This window comes from Homo sapiens, chromosome 11 (assembly GCF_000001405.40).
Source record: "Homo sapiens chromosome 11, GRCh38.p14 Primary Assembly".
Lineage (NCBI taxonomy): Eukaryota > Metazoa > Chordata > Mammalia > Primates > Hominidae > Homo > Homo sapiens.
The window spans coordinates 642,054-664,282 of record NC_000011.10 but is presented as its reverse complement, the minus strand read 5'-3'; the positions used below and the strand labels follow the sequence as shown (position 1 = coordinate 664,282).

At 53.1% G+C, this 22,229-nt stretch overlaps 1 protein-coding gene and 1 long non-coding RNA gene across 15 annotated transcripts in view, besides 3 other annotated features; one reads left to right on the top strand and one right to left on the bottom strand.

Annotated features, from left to right (window-relative positions):
- The window catches only part of DEAF1 (DEAF1 transcription factor), a 62,851-nt gene extending 42,801 nt beyond the window's left edge, over window positions 1-20,050 (top strand). For 6 of the 14 annotated variants that reach the window (NM_001367390.1, NM_001440885.1, NM_001440884.1 and 3 more), the window contains 2 exons: window positions 10,232-10,321; window positions 19,629-20,050. In NM_001367390.1, the coding sequence (NP_001354319.1) occupies window positions 10,232-10,321; window positions 19,629-19,733 (195 nt within the window). In that variant the 3' untranslated portion in view covers window positions 19,734-20,050. Of the gene's footprint in view, window positions 1-4,486; window positions 4,849-9,626; window positions 9,669-10,231; window positions 10,322-12,336; window positions 12,830-12,875; window positions 13,117-17,727; window positions 17,952-19,628 lie in introns of those variants that run through there. The other 8 variants (XM_011519842.4, XM_047426250.1, NM_001293634.2 and 5 more) reach the window with 7 other exon arrangements.
- On the bottom strand, window positions 5,179-9,260 carry LOC124902603 (uncharacterized). Its single transcript, XR_007062543.1, has 2 exons — window positions 8,716-9,260; window positions 5,179-7,309 (listed from the first exon to the last, which is right to left on the bottom strand). It is a non-coding gene; the product is annotated as an uncharacterized LOC124902603 (long non-coding RNA).
- Window positions 21,340-21,634: a silencer, noted in NCBI's record as "tiled region #3787; K562 Repressive non-DNase unmatched - State 25:Art". NCBI's record gives its function as "represses a minimal TATA promoter and a strong SV40 promoter by Sharpr-MPRA in K562 cells {active_cell/tissue: K562}" and the evidence as "EXISTENCE:reporter gene assay evidence [ECO:0000049][PMID:27701403]".
- Window positions 21,340-22,017: a biological region, named in NCBI's record as "Sharpr-MPRA regulatory region 3787".
- Window positions 21,472-22,017: an enhancer, noted in NCBI's record as "H3K27ac-H3K4me1 hESC enhancer chr11:642266-642811 (GRCh37/hg19 assembly coordinates)". NCBI's record gives its function as "activates a minimal SCP1, AML or CMV promoter by ChIP-STARR-seq in naive H9 embryonic stem cells {active_cell/tissue: H9 hESC(naive)}" and the evidence as "EXISTENCE:reporter gene assay evidence [ECO:0000049][PMID:30033119]".

Genomic DNA, 22,229 nt, shown 5'->3' with positions numbered 1-22,229 from the left:
TTTTTTTTCTTTTCTCTGGTGGCTACAAAAGTGAACTTTTTTTCTTTTTTTTCTTTTTCTTTTTTTCTTGAGACAGAGTTTCGCTCTTGTTGCCCAGGCTGGAGTGCAATGGCGTGATCTCGGCTCACCGCAACCTCTGCCTCCTGGGTTCAAGGGATTCTTCTGCCTCAGCCTCCTGAGTAGCTGGGAATACAGGCATGTGCCACCACGCCTGGCTAATTTTTGTATTTTTAGTAGAGATGGGGTTTCTTCATGTTGGTCAGGCTGGTCTTGAACTCCCAGCCTCACGTGATCCGCCCACCTCAGCCTCCCAAAGAGCTGGGATTATAGGCGGGAGCCATGGCACTCGGCCCTATTTTGTCCGTTTTCTTGAGACATCTTAAATGAACATATAGCTTCAGGAAGCCATGGTAGCAGACAGGACCACAGTGCTTTCCGTGATGTGGCCGTCTCCTAGAGTCCAGCAGACCGGACCTTCGCAAGAAAAACTGCTGAGGAGATGGAGAAGGAAAGGCCAAAAGCCTGGTATTCACTCCAGAGGCAGTCGCTGAGGAGATGGAGGAAGGGTCAAAAGCCTGATATTCACTTCAGAGGCAGTCGCTGAGGAGTTGGAGGAGGAAAGGCCAAAAGCCTGATTTATCAGTCCAGAGGCAGTCGCTGAGGAGATGGAGGAGGAAAGGCCAAAAGCTTCGTATTCATTCCACAGGCAGTTGCTGAGGCGATTTGAGGAGGAAAGGCCAAAAGCCTGGTATTCACACCAGAGGCAGTTGCTGAGGAGATGGAGGAGGAAAGGCCAAAAGCCTGGTATTGACTCCAGAGGCAGTCTTTTGTTGTTGTTGTTGAGTCTCACTCTGTCACCCAGGCTGGAGTGCAGTGGCAGAATCTCGGCTCACTGCAACCTCCGCCTCCCGGGTGCAAGCGATTGTCCTGCTTCAGTCTCCCGAGTGGCTGGAATTACAGGCACGCGCCACCACGTCTGGCTAATTTTTGTATTTTTAGTTGAGATGGAGTTTCGCCGTTATTAGCCAGGCTGGTTTTGAACTCCTGCGTTCAGGTGATCCACCCTCCTTGGCCTCCCAAAGTGCTGGGATTACAGACGTAAGCCACCATGCTCAACTAGGTTTTGTGTTTTTTATAGAGACAGCATCTTGTTTTGTTGCCGAGGCTGGTCCTGAACACGTGGTCTCAAGATATTCGCCCAGTCAGCCTCCCAGAGTGCTGGGACTCTAGGCGTGAGCCCCTGCTTCTGGCCCCCAGGCCAGTAGTAAAAAGCCAAATATCATCCCTTTCAGAGCATCAGGACAGCGGTTGTGCTCAGGGAGGCTGGGAATGGGCATCGTGCCCTCTGGGGGTGCGGCAGGGTCAGTTGGCTGGAGGATATTCATGGTGCTGCTGCCCCCTGCTGCCGTGCTGAGGGCTGACATGGTGAACAGTCATGGGCACTTGCAGACGTGGTTGTGCCCAGTGCTGTGTGCATGCAGCCGTTCCAGCAAAGGTGGTGGTCACTTGGACCATTGTGGTGCCATCATGGTACAGCACCCAGGCAGGAGCAAGGCCGTTGTGTTCTGGTGAGATGATGGTTCTGAATTAGATGTGGAGATTTCTTTGAGATCAGCTCCACAGGTATCTTACGAGGGCTCGGGGGTGAGGCTCAGAAGTCCTACAAGGAGGGGCCTCAACCTGTGTCCCTTCACCTGCAGCAACAGCAACGCGGAGCAACCTCCAGGAGCCTGGGGGGCGCCTGGGCTGGGCGGGAGTCGGAGGTCGGCGAGGGGAGGAAGGTGGTCGCATGTTGGCGTCCTCCTGCCCTGTAGGAAGTACTGAATGGTTCCCCACAACAGTAGGATGAAAATGAGTTTCTGTTCCCTGATCCCACGCCACTGCAGAATGGGAGGAAGGCTTTATGCCGGGGTGTCCAATCTTTTCTCTTCCCTGGGCCACACTGCAAGAAGAGGAATTGGGCCACACATTAAAAATCTCATAATTTTTTTTTGTTTTATGAGACGGAATCTTGCTCTGTTGCCCAGGCTGGAGTGCAGTGGCGCGATCTCAGCTCACCACACACAACCTCTGCCTCCCGGGATCAAGCGATTCTCTTGCTTCAGCCTCTCGAGTAGCTGGGATTACAGGTGCGCACTACTGCGCCCAGCTAGTTTTTGTATTTTGCCATGTTGGCCAGGCTGGTCTTGAACTCCTGACCTCAGGTGATCCGCCCACCTCGGCCTCTCAAAGTGTTGGGATTATAGGCATGAGCCACCGCGCCCGGCCCATAATGTTTTAAGAAAGTTTACGAATGTGTGTTGGGCCTCATGCAAAGCCATCCTGGGCTGCATGCAGCCCGCGGGCTGTGGGTTGGACAAGCTTGCTTTGTGCCATTAAATTGTTATTTGTAATTAGTGCTGGAAAGTCAGGGTTTGAGAGGCAGACACTGCTGTCTCTGAATGGAAAGGTCCACGTGTGGGAATGAGGAAGCCTTGCTCATGAGCACCCTGACAGAGCACCCATGCCTCCAGCAGTGGGAGGGCAGGCGTGACGCTGCCGATTCCACATTGTATCTGGAATGTTTGTTTTGGAGATGGAGTTTCGCTCTTGTTGCCCAGGCTGGAGTGCAGTGGTGCGATCTCAGCTCACTGCAACCTGTGCCTCCCAGGTTCAAGCGATTCTTCTGCCTCAGCCTCCCGAGTAGCTGGGGTTACAGGCGCTTGCCACCACGCCTGGCTAATTTTTGTATTTTTAGTAGACGCGGTATTTCACCATGTTGGCCAGGCTGGTGTTGAACCCCTGACCTCCGGTGATCCACCTGTCTCGGCCTTCCAAAGTGCTGGGATTACAGGCATGAGCCTCGGTGCCTGGCCTTTTATCTGGAATTTAAAAAAAAAAAAAATCAAATGTAGCCCAGCTGAAGCTATTAAGGGGATTGTTGCCAGCTTTAACCATGGGAAATCTGCATTCGTGTGTATGTAATGAGCTCTGCAGAGATTCAACAAGGCAGAAAAGCAGATGCCCTTGGCTGTCAAGGGCACAGTGTCCAGTGGAAGCCAGCCGAGTGGCTGCAGGGTCTTGGACTCACTGCCCTGGCCCCGGCTTGTTGTTGGCCATGCTGCCCTGAGCGCAAACCCCATTCCTCTAGCCTGTCCCCGTTTCTAGTAGCTCGCTCTCAGGCTTTCTCCAGTCTCCCTAACTTCCTTTTAAAGTGTTAAATATAGTACAGCACAGAAGGGTATGAAAGGGAGAAGAATACGTAAGTTGGACAGTAACAATGTCCTTGACTCCTAGGAAGCTCAGAAATAGGTCTGTGCTGTGCCTGGATGGTGCCTCCGTGCCTGGGGATCTGGAAGGGTGGAGACAGACCCCAGAGCAGCCGCTTCCCTGCGGGGGCCTCTCCCAACACCGTAAGGCCGCGGGTGCCTCAAGCAGCGCCGAGAGGGGCTTGTGTTTCAGTGACATTTCCTTGAAGTCCAGGTATGGGGTTTCTGTAAATGAAGGCTTTTGCCTGCCTTGTTCTCCAGTGTCAGCCTAACACTCACGTGAGCCAAATAGGCCCGGCCAGACCCAAGACAGCTCAGTCACCTGTTCCGCATCAAACATCAGATTCCAGAGCCGGACTGGACCAACGTCCTGCCGTGGCCCAGTGAGCGAGGGTTGCTGGCGTCTTTGGGATACTCGGGAGCAGCCCGCCATCCCCGTGTCCCCAGGGAACTCTTCAGAGCACCCCCCAGCAGCGTGGAAGCCCCCGGAAATGCAGGCTTGGAGTCCCCCGAGGGAGCCAGGGGTGTTGTGGTGGGAGGGGCGGCCAGGTGCCCGGGACGGGGTGAGGCGGCGCCGGCGGGGCAGCCTGGGAAAAGCACAGAGGTGGCTTTGCAGTCCCACTTCAGGGGGACCCTGCCTGACCTGGGATGAGGTGTGTGGGCTTTCTGGGGCAGGGGCGGGGACAGGTTGTAAATCTGAATTTGTCTGATGCTTCCTCAGAGATCTGTATCATGGTCATTTCATAGAAACGGCAAACTCTGTCCCAGCTCAAAAAGATGCTATTAGACTAATCCTTTGATCTCTTTACGTGTGCGGCTCAGCTTTCAGATAAACCTGCTTGATGTTTTGAGGGTTTTCTCTTATTTCCGTTGCTTCCTCGAGGGAGAGTAATCCAGTCTAATTTGCATTTCTCTTACTTTTAAGCTGAGCTGCTGCGCCCTCACGGGACACAGTCATGGGGAGCCCTCTGCCCCATGGTGGGCATTGGTGAAGCCACAGTGGTCCCGGGGGCAGACCTCAAGGGTGCACAGCAGCAGCCCCTTGGGCCCTGCCTGCCCAAGCCCCACCTGGCCCCACCTGCCCTGTGTTGGGGACTTTGTATTTCAGCCTCCATGCAGGGTGACGCTGGGACTCCCCAGCTTCCGGTTCACGGCTTCAGGGTCCAGCAGGTTCTCCTGAAGCCCCATCTACCGCTGGCTTCCTGCTCACTCTCCCCTCTCCCGCTCTGTCTCTCCAGAGGAGGCCGGGCCTGTGGAATTAGGCGGCTGCTTCACCTGAACTCACTGCAGTGCCGGGAAAGGAGCCTCTGGAACTAGACCCAGGAGCGGATCTGCAAAGGCTACTCAGGGTTCTCCCAGCGGCTCTGAACCCCGAGGCCAACTCGCCCTCCAATCACCTGGCCCCTGAAGCAGGCGGAGGCCCCTGTGCACAGTGGGCCTGTGGCCCCATTTGGTTCAGGAGTGATGGTGACACGGAGTTGGCTCCATCGAGGCTCCTGGCAGCATTACATCCTCTAAGAATAAGTCATAAAGAAAGCACTCCTTGTAAGATACACGATCCACCAGGCTGCCTCCAACCACAGCCTCATCTCCATCCGGGGTGTGTCTAGGTTTTCTTTTTTATTATTATTTTTTATCATTTGAGACATGTTCTCCCTCTGTCACCCAGGCTGGAGTGCACTGGTGTGACCTCAGCTCACTGCAACCTCCACCTCCCAGGCTCAAGCAATCCTCCCACCTCAGCCTCTCTGGTAGCTAAGAGGTGCATGCCACCATGCCCAGCTAATTTTTTTTTTTTTTTTTTTTGTAGAGACAGGGTTTTGCCATGTCACCTAGGCTGGCCTTAAACTCTTGGGCTCAAGCGATGCTCCCGCCTCGGCCTCCCAAAGTGCTGGGATTACAGGTGTAGCCACCATGCCTGGCCAGTATCTAGGTTTTCAAGTTAGACTTAGTTTTATTTGCAGAAAGAATAATGAATACATTATTAACTTATTCTTTGATAGTTAGAAATTAATAGGCATTTTATATGTGATCTTATGGTCTTACTCTTGGTTGGCTGTTTCTGAAGGAGTGGCTTTGTTATCTGTAATTTGTCTAATTTAAAAATCAATTATAATGAAACCAGCATATGTGATTCACAAGGCTTTTTTCCACCTGGACCAGAGTACACCAGCTATTGCATTGCCAAAAGTAGGTGTGTTCCTGTTGTGTGATGTGCAGATGGGGGGCCCCTGCAGCAGGGAAGGCAGGCCAGGAAACCCCTTCGCAGTCTCTGCTGAGGGGCTGGACCCGCTGCTTGGGCGGGACTCCCCGCAGGGTGCTCTGCTGCAGTCTCCTCCTCTGCCCGCCTGCGGCCCAGAGAACTCTGAATGCTAATGGCAATGCCAGCTGCTTGGCAGCATGAGCTTCTTGGGGCGCCTGGGCAGGCCTGGGCACTTCTGCCCTTTGTGCCATCCGCAGTCCTGTGATTTCCTGACAGTTTCCTGAAAGCGCAGAATGGGACTTGTCGATGTCCTTGGCTGCGGAAACGCGGTGTCTTGTCCTAACCTTCTGCAACGCACACACACCTCTTCCGCAGTAATGAATGGTTTTTTGTTTTTGTTTTTGAGACAGAGTCTAGCTCTGTCACCCAGGCTGGAGTGCAGTGGCGCGTTCTCGGCTCACTGCAAGCTCCACCTCCTGGGTTCATGCCATTCTCCTGCCTTAGCCTCGCGAGTAGCCGGGAGTACAGGCACCCGCCAACACGCCTGGCTAATTTTTTTGTATTTTTAGTAGAGACAGGGTTTCACCGTGTTAGCCAGGATGGTCTCGATCTCCTGACCTCGTGATCCGCCTGCCTCAGCCTCCCAAAGTGCTGGGATTACAGGCGTGAGCCACCGTGCCCGGCTAATGAATGGTTATTTTAAAAAATAAACGTATTTCGGGATAATTTTAGGTTTACAGAAAAGTTGCAAAGTGAGCGCAGAGGGTCCCTTCTGCCACTCCGCAGCCTCCCCTCTGTAACTTCAAAGCCCACAGGGCATGGCTGTTGTAGCTGAGAAACCGTCGCTGGGTGTCCCTGTGAACTCCGGACTTTGAATTTCACTATCAATGTCCTGTTTCTGCTCTAGGACCTTGTCCCCGCTGCCACCTGTGGGAGACAGCCTCCCGTGCACCATTTGCCCAGCACCCTCAGGCCTGTGACGGTCTCTCAGTCTTTCCTTGTCTTCCATGCCCTGCAGTTCTGAGAGGGCCTGGCCAGGCAGTTTGTCCAGGTGCCCCGATCCAGGCTTGTCTTGTGCTTTCTCGTGGGGGTGGACGACAGGTTTCAGGGAGGGGTGCTGCCGCCTGTCTCACCCCACTGTGGCGTCCCTGACATCCAAGTGACATTACAGACAGCTCTGACCTTCCTCACCAGAGTCAGGTGTCTGTAGGTGTCTCCTTGGTGACAGGACTGCTTCTCCCTTTGCACATTTAGTCAGGCAGCAAGTCCACGGCCGTGGGGGGGCTTCTCCTAGACGGGAGGATCTGGAATAGCTTGGACTTGTATTTATTTATTTGATCATTTGTTTGTATCCGGATGGGCTCATTTTATATGTGTTTTAAACTCTGAGCTAGAAGGCAACACTACTTTCTTGTGAAGCACACCATCTGTCCTTGGCCCTAGGGAGCTCCTGCCGTCGGCTCCTGGGTCCCCTGATGCACCCCTTTCAACAGACTTTTCATTTTGGGGTACGTCCTGACTTCCTGGCACTGCAGGGTGCTCCAGCCTCCTCTTGCATTCCCTGCCCTGGCCCGGGAATCAGCCCCTTCTCCAAGGAGCCCCGGGTCCTTTTATTGGCAAGTCTTAAGAGAGTGAGGCCTGGGTGCCAGGCAGGGAGCCCCAGGTCCTTTTATTGGGAAGTCTTAGAGAGTGAGGCCTGGGTGCCAGGTGGGTGCCAGGTGGGTCCGGTGCTGCTGGGATGTTGTCACGTGGAGGCCCTCAGCTGCAGAGCAGGGACGAGGGTGTCACCTGTTCAGCTGCAGAGCAGGGATGAGGGTGTCACCTGTGTGTATGAACATCTCCGCAGCCACTTCTGTATCTGTGAAGAGAACATGAGTTCATGCTACTGCCTCTGACTCTAATTCAGACCCCAAAGCTCCTTCTAACCTTCCTAGAACGTTATTTTTCAGTTTAAAAAAAAAAAAAAGTTTTGCAAAGGGCATACCGCGAAAGGCCCAAGTGGTTGAAAGTCCCAGCTGAGGCTGAAGAGGCGCCTGCGAGGCAACAGGACAGGCTTCCCGTTCAGTTCAGGGGTGCTGTCCTCCAGGAACTATGCTGGGGGGCAAGTACAGGACGTCCTGGTGTGTGGTGCACAGGGACTGCTGGACACGGAGACCCGTGCCCTTCTCAGCGTGGGGGCCGCTCCCCGGGACAGTGACCACGCTCCCGCCAGCCTCCCACCCCACCTGACCTCTGTCTGTGAGGGGCTGGACCAGGGTCCTGCCTGGCCCGGCCATCCACAGAGCAACCCAGAATGTTAATAAAGCCTGCAGAAGCTGTGTTCTCCTTCGAGAAGCTTCTCTGTGGTTACAGACTTTTTAAGAAATATTTTGTCGGCTGGGCTTGGTGGCTCATGCCTGTAATCCCAGCATTTTGGGAGGCCAAGGCAGGCGGATCACCTGAGGTCAGGAGTTTCCGAGACCAGCCTGGCCAACAGGGCAAAACCCCGTCTCTACTAAAAATACAAAAATTAGCCAGGCATGGTGGCAAGCGCCTATAATCCCAGCTACTTGAGAGGCTAAGGTGGAAGCATTGCTCGAATCTGGAAGGTGGTGGTTGCAATGAGCTGAGATCGTGCCACTGCACTCCAGGCTGGGCGACAGAGCGAGACTCCATCTCAAAAAAAAAAAAAAAGTTTGTCATTTAAAGTAGAGGCACAGGCCAGGCGCGGTGGCTCATGCCTGTAATCCCAGCACTTTGGGGGGCCGACTCAGGTGGATCATTTGAGGTCAGGAGCTCGAGACCAGCCTGACCAATATGGTGAAACCCCATCTGTACTAAAAATACAAAAAAATTAGCCAGGCGTGGTGGTCCGTGCCTGTAGTCCCAGCTGTGGGGAGGCTGAGGCACAAGAATCACTTAAACCCAGGAGGTGGAGGTTGCAGTGAGCCGAGATTGCGCCACTACACTCCAGCCTGGGCGACAGAGTGAGACTCCATCTCAAAAAAATAATAATAATAATAAATAAATAAAGTAGAGGCAGGGGGCAACCTAAATTAGCACCAAAATTCCTCCTAATGCTCCTGTTTTCTGAAGTGAGTGACTGAATGTCGGAGCTCTGAATGTCTTACAACTGGAAAAATGTTAAAGATCACGTTTGCGAAGGAGGGAGGCAAGCATCAGAACAGAACCTCGGAGCAGGTCTGCACGCGTGCAGGGGCCGTGGGGCCGCGCTGGAGTCGTTTCCTGTGCTGCTCTGTGCTGCTCACAGACGCTGCCACTCACCCACTGGCCACGGCCCCTCCCGCAGCTGCGGATGATCTGGGCGCATAGCGGGCGTGCAGGTCGCGGCGCCAAGGCCTCTCCTAGGCCCAGTGGTCTTCTCCGTCTCAGAGAGCATTGACGGCGGAGCTCACAACTGTCAAGCACCTTAGTCATGCCGCAAACATTAATCATTGACAGCATGTTGACCTATGCGCTGATTAAAAAGAAAAGCTCCAATAATGTAATTCCAGGAGAAAGTACACAAACCTCTGGTGGCATCTTTTCAATCCACCACAGAAACCAGCTCAGGTGGGGCCGTGGGGGTGTTGGCTGGGGCACCGCCGCAGCAGTTTGGGACACATGCCTGCCACGGTGCGCCCAGGCTGATGCCCACAGCCCTGCTCAGGAGTGTTGGGAGCGGTGGACTCCTGAGTTTGATTTTCTGTGCTGGCCTGGCTGGAGTGAAGCTCCTTGGAGTTTGGAGAAAGATTTCCATGCTGATTTCCCTTTGTTTTTGTTTGTTTGTTTGTTTGTTTGTTTTGGAGACAGTCTTGCTCTGTCGCCCAGGCTGGAGTGCAATGGTACAATCTCGGGGTTTCACCGTGTTAGCCAGGATGGTCTCGATCTCCTAACTTCGTGATCCGCCCACCTCAGCCTCCTAAAGTGCTGGGATTACAGGCATGAGCCACTGCATCCGGCCCTGATTTCCCTTTTTTTTTGAGATGGGAGTCTCGCTCTGTCACCCAGGCTGGAGTGCAGTAGTGCAATCTCGGTTCACTGCAACCTCCGCCTCCTGGGTGCAAGCTATTCTCCCACCTCAGCCTCCCAGGTAGCTGGGATTACAGGTGGCCACCACCACACCCAGCTAATTTTTGTATTTTTAGTAGAGACTGGGTTTCGCAACGTTGCCTGTGCTGAACTCCTGACCTCAGGTGATCCACCCGCCTCGGCTGCCCAAAGTCCTGGGATTACAGGTATGAGCCGCTGCTCCCGGCCCATACTGGTCTTCCAGTGAATGAATGTAGGGGGCAAACTGCACTGAGGCCAGGAAAGAGCTGATTCTGGAGGTGACAAGAACGTTCTGAGCAGCACTGGGGCAGAGGCGCAGTCAAGAGTCCAATGGGAGCTGGGCGCAGTGGCTCACGCCTGTAATCCCAGCACTTTGGGAGGCCGAGGCAGGTGGATCACGAGGTCAGAGGTTCAAGACCAGCCTGACCAACATGGTGAAACCCTGTCTCTACTAAAAATACACAAATTAGCTGGGCGTGGTGTCAGGCACCTATCATCCCAGACTCAGGAGGCTGAGACAGGAGAATTGCTTGAACCCAGGAGGCGGAAGTTGCAGTGAGCTGAGATCGCACCACGGCACTCCAGCCTGGGCGACAGAGTGAGACTCCATCTCAAAAAAAAAAAAAAAAAAAAAGGGGGTCCAATGGGGGGAACTTGGGGCCTCCTGCCTGCACCTGCCTCTGTCCCCGGTGTCTCAGGGGCTCTCCACGGCCACGTCACTGACTGGCCTGTTGTGTCCTTCTTGCAGCAGTCCTGCGTTAACTGCGGCCGGGAGGCTATGAGCGAGTGCACCGGCTGCCACAAGGTCAACTACTGCTCCACCTTCTGCCAACGCAAGGTAGGTCTCACCTACACCAGGCTCAGTGCCCCCGCCTCCTCCCTCGCTACGAAGACCCCTGGGTGGCCCTCCCTCCCCTTGTGCTCCTGGTGCCACACCTGACTCCCCTCCCTGTCCCTCCCTCTGGGAATCCGGGGCTCCTGCCTGGCTCCGTGAAGACCCTGCAGAAGGCTCACATGTGACATGGCCAGGTAGTGCTCTCATGTGAGGCCCCACAGTTGGTGGCCGGAAACCCTGAGGGCTGCTGGTCAGTGCTTCCCAGCCCTCCACACCCCTGCACAGCCACGCAAGAGAGACTGTCCACAGTTCCATTATTGAGCCCTCCACACCCCTGCAGAGCCACGTGAGAGAGACTGTCCACAGTTCCTCTATTATTCAGCCCTCCACACCCCTGCAGAGCCACGCAAGAGAGACTGTCCACAGTTCCTCTATTATTGAGCCCTCCACACCCCTGCAGAGCCACGCGAGAGAGACTGTCCACAGTTCTTCTATTATTGAGCCCTCCACACCCCTGCAGAGCCACGCGAGAGAGACTGTCCACAGTTCCTCTATTATTGAGCCCTCCACACCCCTGCAGAGCCACGCGAGAGAGAGCGTCCACAGTTCCTCTATTATTGAGCCCTCCACACCCCTGCAGAGCCACGCGAGAGAGAGACTGTCCACAGTTCCTCTATTATTGAGCCCTCCACACCCCTGCAGAGCCACGCGAGAGACAGCGTCCACAGTTCCTCTATTATTCAGCCCTCCGCTCCACAGAAATTCAAGAGAAATTTTGTAGGCTACAAACGGTAGTTCAGGATTGTATAACTTTGTCTACCATAATCAGAGTACTCGGGAGCATTTAGTCACTCTTTTTTTTTTTTTTTTTTTTTTTTTTTGAGACAGAGTCTCATTCTGTCACCCAGGCTGGAGTGCAGTGGTGCGATCTTGGCTCGCTGCAACCTCTGCCTCCCGGGTTCAAGCGATTCTCCTGCCTCAGCCTCCCGAGTAGCTGGGATTACAGGCATGCGCCACCATACCTGGCTAATTTTTGTATTTTTAGTAGAGACGGGGTCTCACCACGTTGGGCAAGCTGGTCTCGAACTCCTGACCTCAGGTGATCCACCCACCTTGGCCTCCCAAAGTGCTGGGATTTAGAGGTGTGAGCTACTGTTCCCAGCAGCTTTACTAATCTTTTTGATGGTTTTTTTTTCTCATATTTATGAGAGATGCTGGTCTATATTTTGTCCTGTGATGTCTTTGTTTCATGTTGGTGTCAGAGCAACACTGGCCTTTCAGATCAATTGGGAAGTGTGCCCTTCTGCCCTCCTTCTCTATTTTCTTTTTGAGACAGTTTTGCTCTGTAGCCCAGGCTGGAGTGCAGTGGCAAGATCTCGGCTCACTGCAACCTCTGCCTCCCGGGTTCAAGTGATTCTCCTACCTCAGCCTCCCGAGTAGCTGGGATTACAGGCATGCACCTCCACCCCCGGCTAATTTTTATGTTTTTAGTAGAGACAGGGTTTCACCATGTTGCCCAGGCTGGTCTCAAACTTCTGGCCTCAAGTGATCTGCCTGCCTCGGCCTCCCAAATTGCTGGGATTGCAAGTGTGAGCCACGGCACCCAGCCTGTGTTTCATCTTTATTCAGTTCGAATATTTTATGCAGTTGAAAATATTTGCCGTGTGATTTTTTTCTGTGACCTATGAGTTATTTGGAAGTGTGTGCTGGATTCAGGAGTAGATCTAAAAAAGAAGTATGCTAATTTCAAATATTTCTGGATTTCTTAAATGTACCTTTATAATTAATTTCTACTTTAATTACATTGTGGTTCAAGAACATACTTAGTGTTTTTCAGTACCTTTAAATTTATTGAGATTTGTGTTAGGGCCTAGCGTATGGTCTTATCATGGAGAGTGTTGCTTGTATATTCTGCTCTGTTGGGTGGAGTATTAGATATCAGTTAGGTTGGTTGATAGTATTGTTCAACTCTTTCATATTCTCACTGATTTTCTCTATTTGTTCTACCCCTTATTTAGAGTGAAGTGTTGAACTCTCCAGCTATTACTGTTGAATTATCTGGTTTTTGTTTTTGTTTTTGAGACGGAGTCTCGCTCTGTCGCCCAGGCTGGAGTGTAGTGGCGCCATCTCAGCTCACCGCAAGCTCCGCCTCCCAGGTTCACGCCATTCTCCTGCCTCAGCCTCCCGAGTAGCTGGGACCACAGGCACCCGCCACCACGCCCGGCTGATTTTTTGTATTTTTAGTAGAGACAGGGTTTCACTGTGTTAGCCAGGATGGTCTCGATCTCCTGACCTTGTGATCTGCCCTCCTCAGTCTCCTTTCAAAGTGCTGGGATTACAGGCGTGAGCCACCGTGCCCAGCTGAATTATCTGTTTTTATCTGCCATTATGCCTGTTTTTGCTTCATTTATTTTGGGTCTCTGTTGTTAGGTGCATGTATGTTTAGTTTATAATTATCATTCCTGATGAATTAGCTCTTTTATCATTATAAAACATCCTTCTTTGTCTCAATAAGTTTTTTATTTTTTATTTAATTTTTTTTTTTTTTTTCTTACAGAGATGGAGTCTTACTATGTTGACCAGCCTGGTCTCCATCTCCTGGCTTCGGGCGATCCTCCCATGTCAGCCTCCCAAAGTGCTAGGATTATAGGCATGAGGCACTACACCAGCCAACAGAAGTTTTTATATTAAAATTTACTTTTTCTAGCTGGGCACAGTGGCTCACGCCTGTCATCCCAGCACTTTGGGAGGCTGAGGCAGGTGGATCACCGGTCGGGAGTTTGAGACCAGCTTGGCTAACATGGTAAGACCCCATCTCTACTAAAAACACAAAAATTAGCCAGGCGTGGTGGCGCGTGCCTGTAATCCCAGCTACTAGCGGGGCTGAGGCAGGAGGATTGCTTGAACCTGGGAGGCGGAGGTTGCAGTAAGCCAAGATCACTCCACTGCACTCTAGTCTGGGCAACAGAGCGAGACTCCATCTCAAAAAAAAAAAATTACCTTTTCTGATAGTAGCATAGACACTCCACCTGTCTTATGGTGAATGTTTGCATCTTTTACTTTTGAGACAGAGTCTCACTCTGTCACCCAGACTGGAGCGCAGTGGCATGATCTTGACTCACGGCAGCCTCTACAGATACACGCCCCACGCCCAGCTAATTCTTTGTATTTTTAGTTGAGACGGGGTTTCGCCATTTTGCCCAGGCTGGTCTCGACCCCTTGGACTCAAGTGTTCCACCCCCGCTTGGCCTCCCAAAGTGCTGGGATGACAGGCATGAGTCACTGCGCCCAGCCTGCATCTTTTTAAAAAAAACCTTTTTGGCTGGGTGCAGTGGCCCACACCAGTCATCCCAACACTTTGGGAGGCCAAGAGGGGAGGATCTCTTGAGCCCAGGGCCAGCCTGGCCAACAAAGCGAGACCCTGTTTCTATTTTTTAATTAAATAAACATATAAATAAACAAACATCTTGTTACTTCTAATTTTGTGTCCTTGGCTCTTAAGCATTCCCTTAGAGACAGAATGTGGTTGGATCTTAGGTTTTAATCTAGTCTGATAGTCTCTGCCTTTTTTTTTTTTTTTTTTTTTTTTTTGAGACGGACTGTCACTCTGTCCCCCAGGCTGGAATGCAGTGGCTCCATCTCCACTCACTGCAACCTCCATCTCCTGGGTTCAAGTGATTCTCATAGCTCAGCCTCCCAAGTAGCTGGGATTACAGGCTCCTGCCACCACACTCAGCTAATTTTTGTATTTTTAATAGAGACGGGTTTCACCATGTTGGCCAGGCTGGTCTCAAACTCCTGACCTCAAGAGATTCACCCGCCTCAGCCTCCCAAAGTGGTGGGATTACAGGTGTGAACCACCACACTAGTCTCTGCCTTTTGATTGGAGTGTTTAATCTACTTTTTTGTTTTGTTTTTGTTTTTGTTTTTGTTTTTGTTTTTTAGACAATCTCACTCTGTCGCCAGGCTGGAGTGCAATGGCACGATCTCAGCCCACTGCAACCTCAACGTCCCGGGTTCAAGTGATTTCCCTTCCTCAGCCTCCTGAGTAGCTGGGATTATAGGCATGAGCCACCACGTCCAACTAATTTTTGTGTTTTTAGTAGAGATGGGGTTTCTCCGTGTTGGCAAGGCTGGTCTCGAACTCCTGACCTCAGGTGATCCACTCGCCTCAGCCTCCCAAAGTTCTAAGATTACAGGTGTGAGCCACCGCACTGGAACTCGGCCTGTTTTGTTTTTTGAATTGAGACAGAGTATCACTTTGTTGCCCAGGCTGGAGTGCACTGGCGTAATCTCGGCTCACTGCAGCCTCCACCTCCTGGGTTTAAGGGATTCTCGTGCCTCATTCTCCCGAGTAACTGGGACTGCAGGAGTGTGCCATCAGACCCGGCTAATTTTTGTACTTTTAGTAGACACAGGGTTTCACCATGTTGGTCAGGCTGGTCTTGAGCTCCTGACCTCAAGTGATCCGCCCGCCTCGGCCTCCCAAACTGCTGGGATTATAGGTGTGAGCCACCACACCCAGCTGTTTTGTTTTTTTTTTTAAGTGGGGTCTCTCTCTGTCACCCAGGCCAGAGTGCAGTGGCACAATCTCAGCTCAGTGCAACCTCCGCTTCCCGGGTTCAAGCAATACTCCTCCTTCAGCCTCCCAAGTAACTGGGATTACAGGCACCCGCCACCATGCCCGTTTTTGTTGTTGTTGTTGTGTGTGTGTGTGATGGAGTCTCGCACGGTTGCCCAGGCTAGAGTGCAGTGGCGCAATCTCGGCTCACTGCAGCCTCTGCCTCCCGGGTTCAAGCGATTCTCCTGCCTCAGCCTCCCAAGTAGTTGGGATTACAGGCATGCACCACCATGCCAGGCTAATTTTTGTATTTTTCGTAGAGAGAGGGTTTTGCCATGTTGGCCAGGCTGGTCTTGAACTCCTGGGCTCAAGTAACCCTCCCACCTTGGCCTCCCAAAGTGCTGGGATTATAGGCATGAGCCACTGCGCAAAACCTAATCTCATGTTTAATGTAATTATCAATGTGAGTGGATTTGTGTTTATATTTGCAGTTTATGTTTCATGTTTTGCTCCTCTGTTCTTTCACTGCCTTCTTTTCTGTTAAATGTGTATTTTCTAGTTGTGTTTTCTAGTGTACCACTTCAATTCTTTTGTTGAACATTTTTAAACAGTATCTTTAAAGTTGTTATTTTCTTACTGCTATAGGTATTACAATATACATTTTAATTTATCTCAGTTTCAGTAGGAGGATAGAATTTCCTCAAGCAGGGAAAGTGTACTGCAGAGGCTGAGTGTATACATTCCTGGCAAACACTATTTGGGCCCCAATATAAGCACTTACTGAGCTCCTTTCACCTACAGAACGAACACATCCCGTTCTTTTAAAAGCTGCCTTCCAGCCGGACCTCCAGCCCAGGACACCCTGTCCTCAAGCCTCCCTCAGATCCTGTTCTTTAAAAAGCTGCCTTCAGCTGGGCACGGTGGCTCACGCCTGTAATCCCAGCACTTTGGGAGGCCGAGGCGGGCGGATCACGAGGTCAGGAGATCGAGACCATCCTGGCTAACATGGTGAAACCCCGTCTCTACTAAAAATACAAAAAAATTAGCTTGGCGTGGTGGTGGGCGCCTGTAGTCCCAGGTACTCGGGAGGCTGAGGCAGGAGAATGGCATGAACCCGGGAGGCGGAGCTTGCAGTGAGCCGAGATCGTGCCACAGCACTCCAGCCTGGGAGACAAAGGGAGACTCCGTCTCAAAAAAAAAAAAAAAAGGCAGTGATAATTTTAAAAATTAATTGTAGAGGACTTGGTATGTACACAAAAGTATACACGAGTTTATGCATGTTATGAAGCCCCAACAGGAATCCCCTGCTCCCAGCACCGCCTGGGTCAAGTCCACCCACCTGCTCCCAGCACCGCCTGGGTCAAGTCCACCCACCTGCTCCCAGCACCGCCTGGGTCAAGTCCACCCACCTGCTCCCAGCACCGCCTGGGTCAAGTCCACCCACCTGCTCCCAGCACCGCCTGGGTCAAGTCCACCCACCTGCTCCCAGCACCGCCTGGGTCAAGTCCACCCACCTGCTCCCAGCACCGCCTGGGTCAAGTCCACCCACCTGCTCCCAGCACCGCCTGGGTCAAGTCCACCCACCTGCTCCCAGCACTGCCTGGATTGAGTCACCTACGTGCTGTGGTGGCAACACTTTTCTTTTAATCCTTAACTTTGGAAAATGTGAGACGTGCACATGAGTTGGATCGCCCAGGAGAGGCCCGTCGCCCTCACCTGTATCAGCTGCTTTAGCGCCTGCCCTCCTGGCTTGTCCCCCTCTCTCTTTGGGCTGAGGGCTGAGCATTTTAAAGCAAGCCCCACGCATCATTATTTTCATTTGTGAGGCCTGGATCACTGTAAGTCAGATTTGGATTGTGTTTTAATTGGATTTTTAGTCACTGTTTTTATTTCATTACTTATTTTTGGTTTTTATTTGTTCGTTTGTTTTTGGTTTTGTTTCTGTTTTTGAGACAGGGTCTGGCTCTGTCACCCAGGCTGGAGTGCAGCGGCGCGATCTTGGCTCACTGCAACCTCCACTTCCCAGGTTCAAGCGATTCTCCTGCCTCAGCCTCCCTAGTAGCTGGGGATTACAGGCACCCGCCACCACGTCCGGCTAATTTTTGTATTTTTAGCAGAGACGGGGTTTCACCATGTTGTTCAGGCTGGTCTTGAACTCCTGACCTCATGATCTGCCTGCCTTGGCCTCCCAAAGTGCTGAGATTACTGGCATGAGCCACCGTACCCAGCCTATTTTAGGTTTTCTATAGACAGGGTCTCGCTTTGTCACCCAGGCTGCAGTCCAGTGGTGCCATCACGGCTCACTACAGCCTTGATCTCCTGGCTCAAGTGATCCTCCTGCCTCTGTCTCCCAAGTAGCTTGGACCACAGGCATGAGCCACCACACCCAGCTAATTTTAAAACATTTTTTTTTTTTTATAGAGATAGGGTTTTGCTATGTTGCTCAGGCTGGTCTCCAACCCCTGACCTCAAGTGACCTCAACCTCCCGAAGTCATTGTTTTTACAGTCTGTGATGTTGGCTTTTCTCATTTATTTGTATCAGGCACTTTCATTGTTAGCTTCTTGTGAATTTAACCATTTTTTTCCGTTTTTCAAAAACTGAAACGCTAACTTCTAATTCTGGCTTTTCAGATAATGATTTTTTTTTCAAAAGTGTTTTAGCATTATACTGTAAGAAGCATCACATTGATGTTTAAGATGGAAAAATTTGCTTTAAAAAAGAACTGAGTAGTTCTGATTTTAAAAGTCAACCCTGGGCCTTTGCCTCTTTGCTGGAAGAACCTGATGGAAGCTTCTGTAGCTCAGAGTCAACACTGATGTGCGCCCTCTCTCCCTCCATCTGCACAGGCCCCAGGGAGTGGCTCAAACCTGTAGACCAGAGAAGGAAGCATCTAGAACTCCTGGGGGCCTTGTCCGCCGCCCACATCCTCTCACGGGGGGCAGCTCCCATGAGGGGTGCAGGCCCCTCACCCCACACAGAGTCTCGGCAGGAACCGGAACCCTTCCTGGTTGCCCCAGAGTGGAGGCCCGGGAGGGGCGGGCGGTGGGTCTGCACCCGATGCTGCAGTTTGCTGATGTATGTGCTTTCATGCTATGTAGATTTATAGTCTATTACCAGGTAATTTTAATTTTTTTTTTTTTTTTTTTTTTGAGACGTAGTCTCACTCTGTCGCCCGGGCTGGAGTGCCGTGGCACAATCTTGGCTTACTGCAACCTCTGCCTCCCAGGTTCAAGTGATTCTTGTGCCTCAGCCTCCCAAGTAGCTGAGATTGCAGGTGCGCATGACCACAGGCGGCTAGTTTTTGTATTTTTAGTAGAGATGGGGTTTTGCCATGTTGGGCAGGCTGGTCTCGAGCTCCTGGCCTCAGGTGATCTGCCCACCTCGGCCTCCCAACATGATGGGATTACAGCCGTGAACCACTGCGCCCGGCCTAATTTTGCTCTTTTATTATAATCAGCTGGAATTCTGCTCTCTAGGGAATAACTCTGTCACCATTTGGAAGCATTTATTTCTGCTCTGTGTGTCATATACGTACCTATCACGCCCCCGTGCACGGAGCTGCCTCTGTCTGACGAGGCCGTCTCAGCTTCAGCACCTGGCGCTTCCTCTAGAGCTCTGCTCCATTCCGAGGTGCTCGACGTAGCAGGGAGGCAGAGCCTGGTTCTGTGTGCTGACCTCACAGGAGCTGTGGCTTCTCCCAGGCACCATCCCCCACCTCCTTTCTCTGCAGCCACGGGCTGGTTCCAGTTTGCTTTTTCATCTTTGCCATTAAAAACAGAACTGGGGCGGGGCGCAGTGGCTCACACCTGTCATCCCAGCACTTTGGGAGGCCGAGGCGGGCAGATCCCCTGAGGTCAGGAGTTCGAGACCAGCCTGACCAACATGGTGAAACCCTGTCTCTACTAAAAATGCAAAACATTAGCCAGGTGTGGTGGCGTGCACCTGTAATCCCAGCTGCTAGGGAGGCTGAGGCAAGAGAATTGCTTGAACCCAGGAGGCAGAGGTCGTGGTGAGCCGAGATTGCGCGTTACACTCCAGCCTGGGAAACAAGAGCGAAACTCTGTCCGAAAAACAACAAAAAAACCCCCACAGAACTTGATCGTAATTTACATATGTAATATTTACATATTTAAATGTTTTTCTGCATGTGTGATATTTTTTGTTTACATCCCTAACACAAAACAACTGGTTTGGAGAGTCTTACCCTGGTTTGTTGTTTGACTTTTTTTTTTTTTTTTTTTGATATGGAGTTGTTCTGTCACCCGGGCTGGAGTGCAGTGGCACCATCTCGGCTCCCTGCAACCTCTGCCTCCCAGGGCTGAGCAGTTCTCCTGCCTCAGCTTCCCGAGTAGCTGGGATTAGAGGTGCCTGCCACCATGCCCAGCTAATTTTTGTATTTTTAGTAGATACGGGGTTTCACCATGTTGGCCAGGCTGGTCTCGAACTCCTGACCTCAGGGGATCCACCCTCCTGGGCCTCCCAAAGTGTTGGGATTACAGGCGTGAGCCACCGTGCCCTGCCTGTTGTTTGCCTTTTGATCCAATTCCTCAAACCAAGAGAGTGTGGGGAAGGCTGTATTGGAGCAGAGCCCACCAGAGTTTGGGCGCACGGGGGCTGGGGAGGGCATTCTCAGCACCTCCAGGTGAGGTTACAGAGGGCTGCACCCTCTGGGGTCTGCCTTGGGGACCCTGCCCAGACCCTGCTCCACCCACTGACCCTGCTGACATGGGTGTGTCCTCCCTTCCAGGACTGGAAGGATCACCAGCACATATGCGGCCAGTCAGCAGCTGTCACCGTCCAGGCAGACGAAGTCCACGTGGCTGAAAGCGTGATGGAGAAGGTGACCGTGTGAGGCTCCATCGGCCGCCCTGGGAGCTGGGGCCCCTCGCACTCCTGTGAGGCTTTTGCAGGTCGAAGGCCCCCCTGAGGACTCTGGGGGGACGTTGAGAAGAGGGGTGTGGGAAGGTAAAGAAACTTGCTGGACAAGTCATTAACACACTTTAAGCGAATGGTGCCCTGGGAAGCGCACTCCCCCTGCCCGGGCCCCCTGCCCGCTCGCGGACAGATTTTTTATCCCTGGGATCATGAGCGTCCGGTCTTGCCCACAGGGCCTGTGCTGCGACGCACATACATACGTGTTGTGTCTGTCAATAAAGTGTAAATAAGGTCTCCCTGCCCCACACGGCCGGTTGCAGTGCCAGCCCTCGGGGGGGGGTTTCCTCCCCTTCCTCCTACTGCGCAGGTGGGAAAACCAAGCCCACCGCACCTCTGGTGCACGGGACAGCGCGGCCAGGCCGGAGCCTCCGGTGCACGGGGCAGCGCGGCCGGGCTGAAGCCCTGGCGTCTGGTGGCTCGTGTAGTCCAGGAGGTCTTCGTTCCTTCTGTTCCACGAGACCCTCGTGGCTGCTGGGAGGTGCAGCAGGCCTACGGCCCTTCCCGCCAGGTTTCGGGGCACATGGTGCCTCCTGTGCCCTGGCTGCTTGAGCGAGCCCGACGGTCCAGCACGGCCTGTTCAGTCCACGTGGACAGCTTGGTGGCCTCGGTCCAGGGATCCACACGCAGAGCCTCATGGCCTCCTGGTCTCCCCCTTGTTTCTCATGGCCCTGGCGCCAGGTGGAGGAGAAAGGGCTGAAGCCTGTGGGGGGCACAAGGGGGCGTGTCCAGCGTGTTTGGGCACTGGGCTGGGCCTGAACATGGGACCCCCCTGCCCTCCTGACCAAGAGCGCTGCTGGAGCAGCATCACTCTTGTTCTGGAAGCTTCTGCCCTCATGGCCTGTGTTCTCTGCACACAGAAGGCTCCATGGCTGTGGCTGCCTTGGGGCGAGAAAGTACACACTCAGCAACAGCTCAGCAGGCACCTGGGGTAGGGTGGCAGCGCCAGGAGGAACCTGCACCAGTGATTCTGATGTTTGCCTCTGAAGCGCTTTCTGCACCAGCTGGAGCTGAGCCCGAGAGGTGGCCAAAGCCCCCTTGGAAGGGGATGTTCACTGGGCCCCGCAGAGGCCCCCCGATATTTTCAGTCTCTGGGTTTCTCAGGACCACCTGGTTTATTCCGGTTTTCTTTTTTTTTTTTCTTTGAGACAGAGTCTCACTCTGTCACCCAGGCTGGAGTGCGGTGGCACAATCTTGGCTCACTGCAACTTCGCCTCCCAGGTTCAAGCGATTCTTCTGCCTCAGCCTCCCGAGTAGCTGGGATTATAGGTGGCCACCAGCACACCCAGCTAGTTTAGGGATTTTTAGTAGAGACGGGGTTTCTCCGTGTTGGCCAGGCTGGTCTCGAACTCCTGTCCTCAGGTGATCCACCCACCTCGACCTCCCAAAGTGCTGGGATTACAGGTGTGAGCCACCGCCCTGGCCTATTTACTTAGTAAAGTCTCTGCCCAGCCAGGCCAAGCCCTCACTGATGTTTCATCATCCTGCTCAGGCGTGCCCGGTGCTGCACCGTTGGTGCTGCCAGTGAGCAGTGGAGGCTGGAAAAGGTGTCTGGGCTGCTGCAGGACGCGCTCCAGATGCTGCACCTCACCCCACCTGCCCCTCACCCCGCCTGTCCCTCACCCCGCCTGGCCCTTCCTGTGACCCTCAGCCCGCCTGGCCCTTCCTGTGACCCTCACCCCGCCTGGCCCTTCCTGTGACCCTCAGCCCGCCTGGCCCTTCCTCTGACCCTCAGCCCGCCTGGCCCTTCCTCTGAGACTCTACAATGGCTTTTCATCCAACCCAGCAGGGTCTGCCATTGCCGCAAGGTGGAGGCATCTCAGAGGCCCTGCTTGGCCTTGCCCTGTCCAGGCAGGCGGGCCGTGGGTTGACCTCCATGAGACAGCAGGGCTGGGCCTGCTCCTTTGGGTTTTAACCAACATAAAGGTGGCAGGCAATTGAGGACCTGCACCTCTTAAGAATAATCCCCCAAAGCTGAGAACACCAGCATCTCTGCAGAGAGCACAGCTGCAGGAAGTAGCTGAACCCCTGCCTGGTGGGGGAGGCACCGTGGGAGCCCTCTGGCACAGTGACCCCCGCCAGCAGTGATGCCACCTGGCTTCCTGCGCCAGGCCCTGCAGGAATGGAGTGGGGGTATTCCCTGGAATTGTGGGGGCCACTTACTCTTCCCCAACTTTCCGTAAAACAGAAGCCAAGCACCACGCGTCTGTTGGGATCCCAGGTTTCCACAGCTCCTCCTTTCCAAGCCTGGGAGGCTGATGGTCAGAGGTCGCCCTGCCCCAGGGCTGTCAGCACCCCCAGGACCCCCAGATGCATGTGCACCTCCCATGGCCTCCAGCGCTGTCAGGCACGTGTGGGGCTGTGGGTCCTGGGACAAAGCTGGCGGGAGCCCCTCCTTCACTCTCACGGGTGTCTG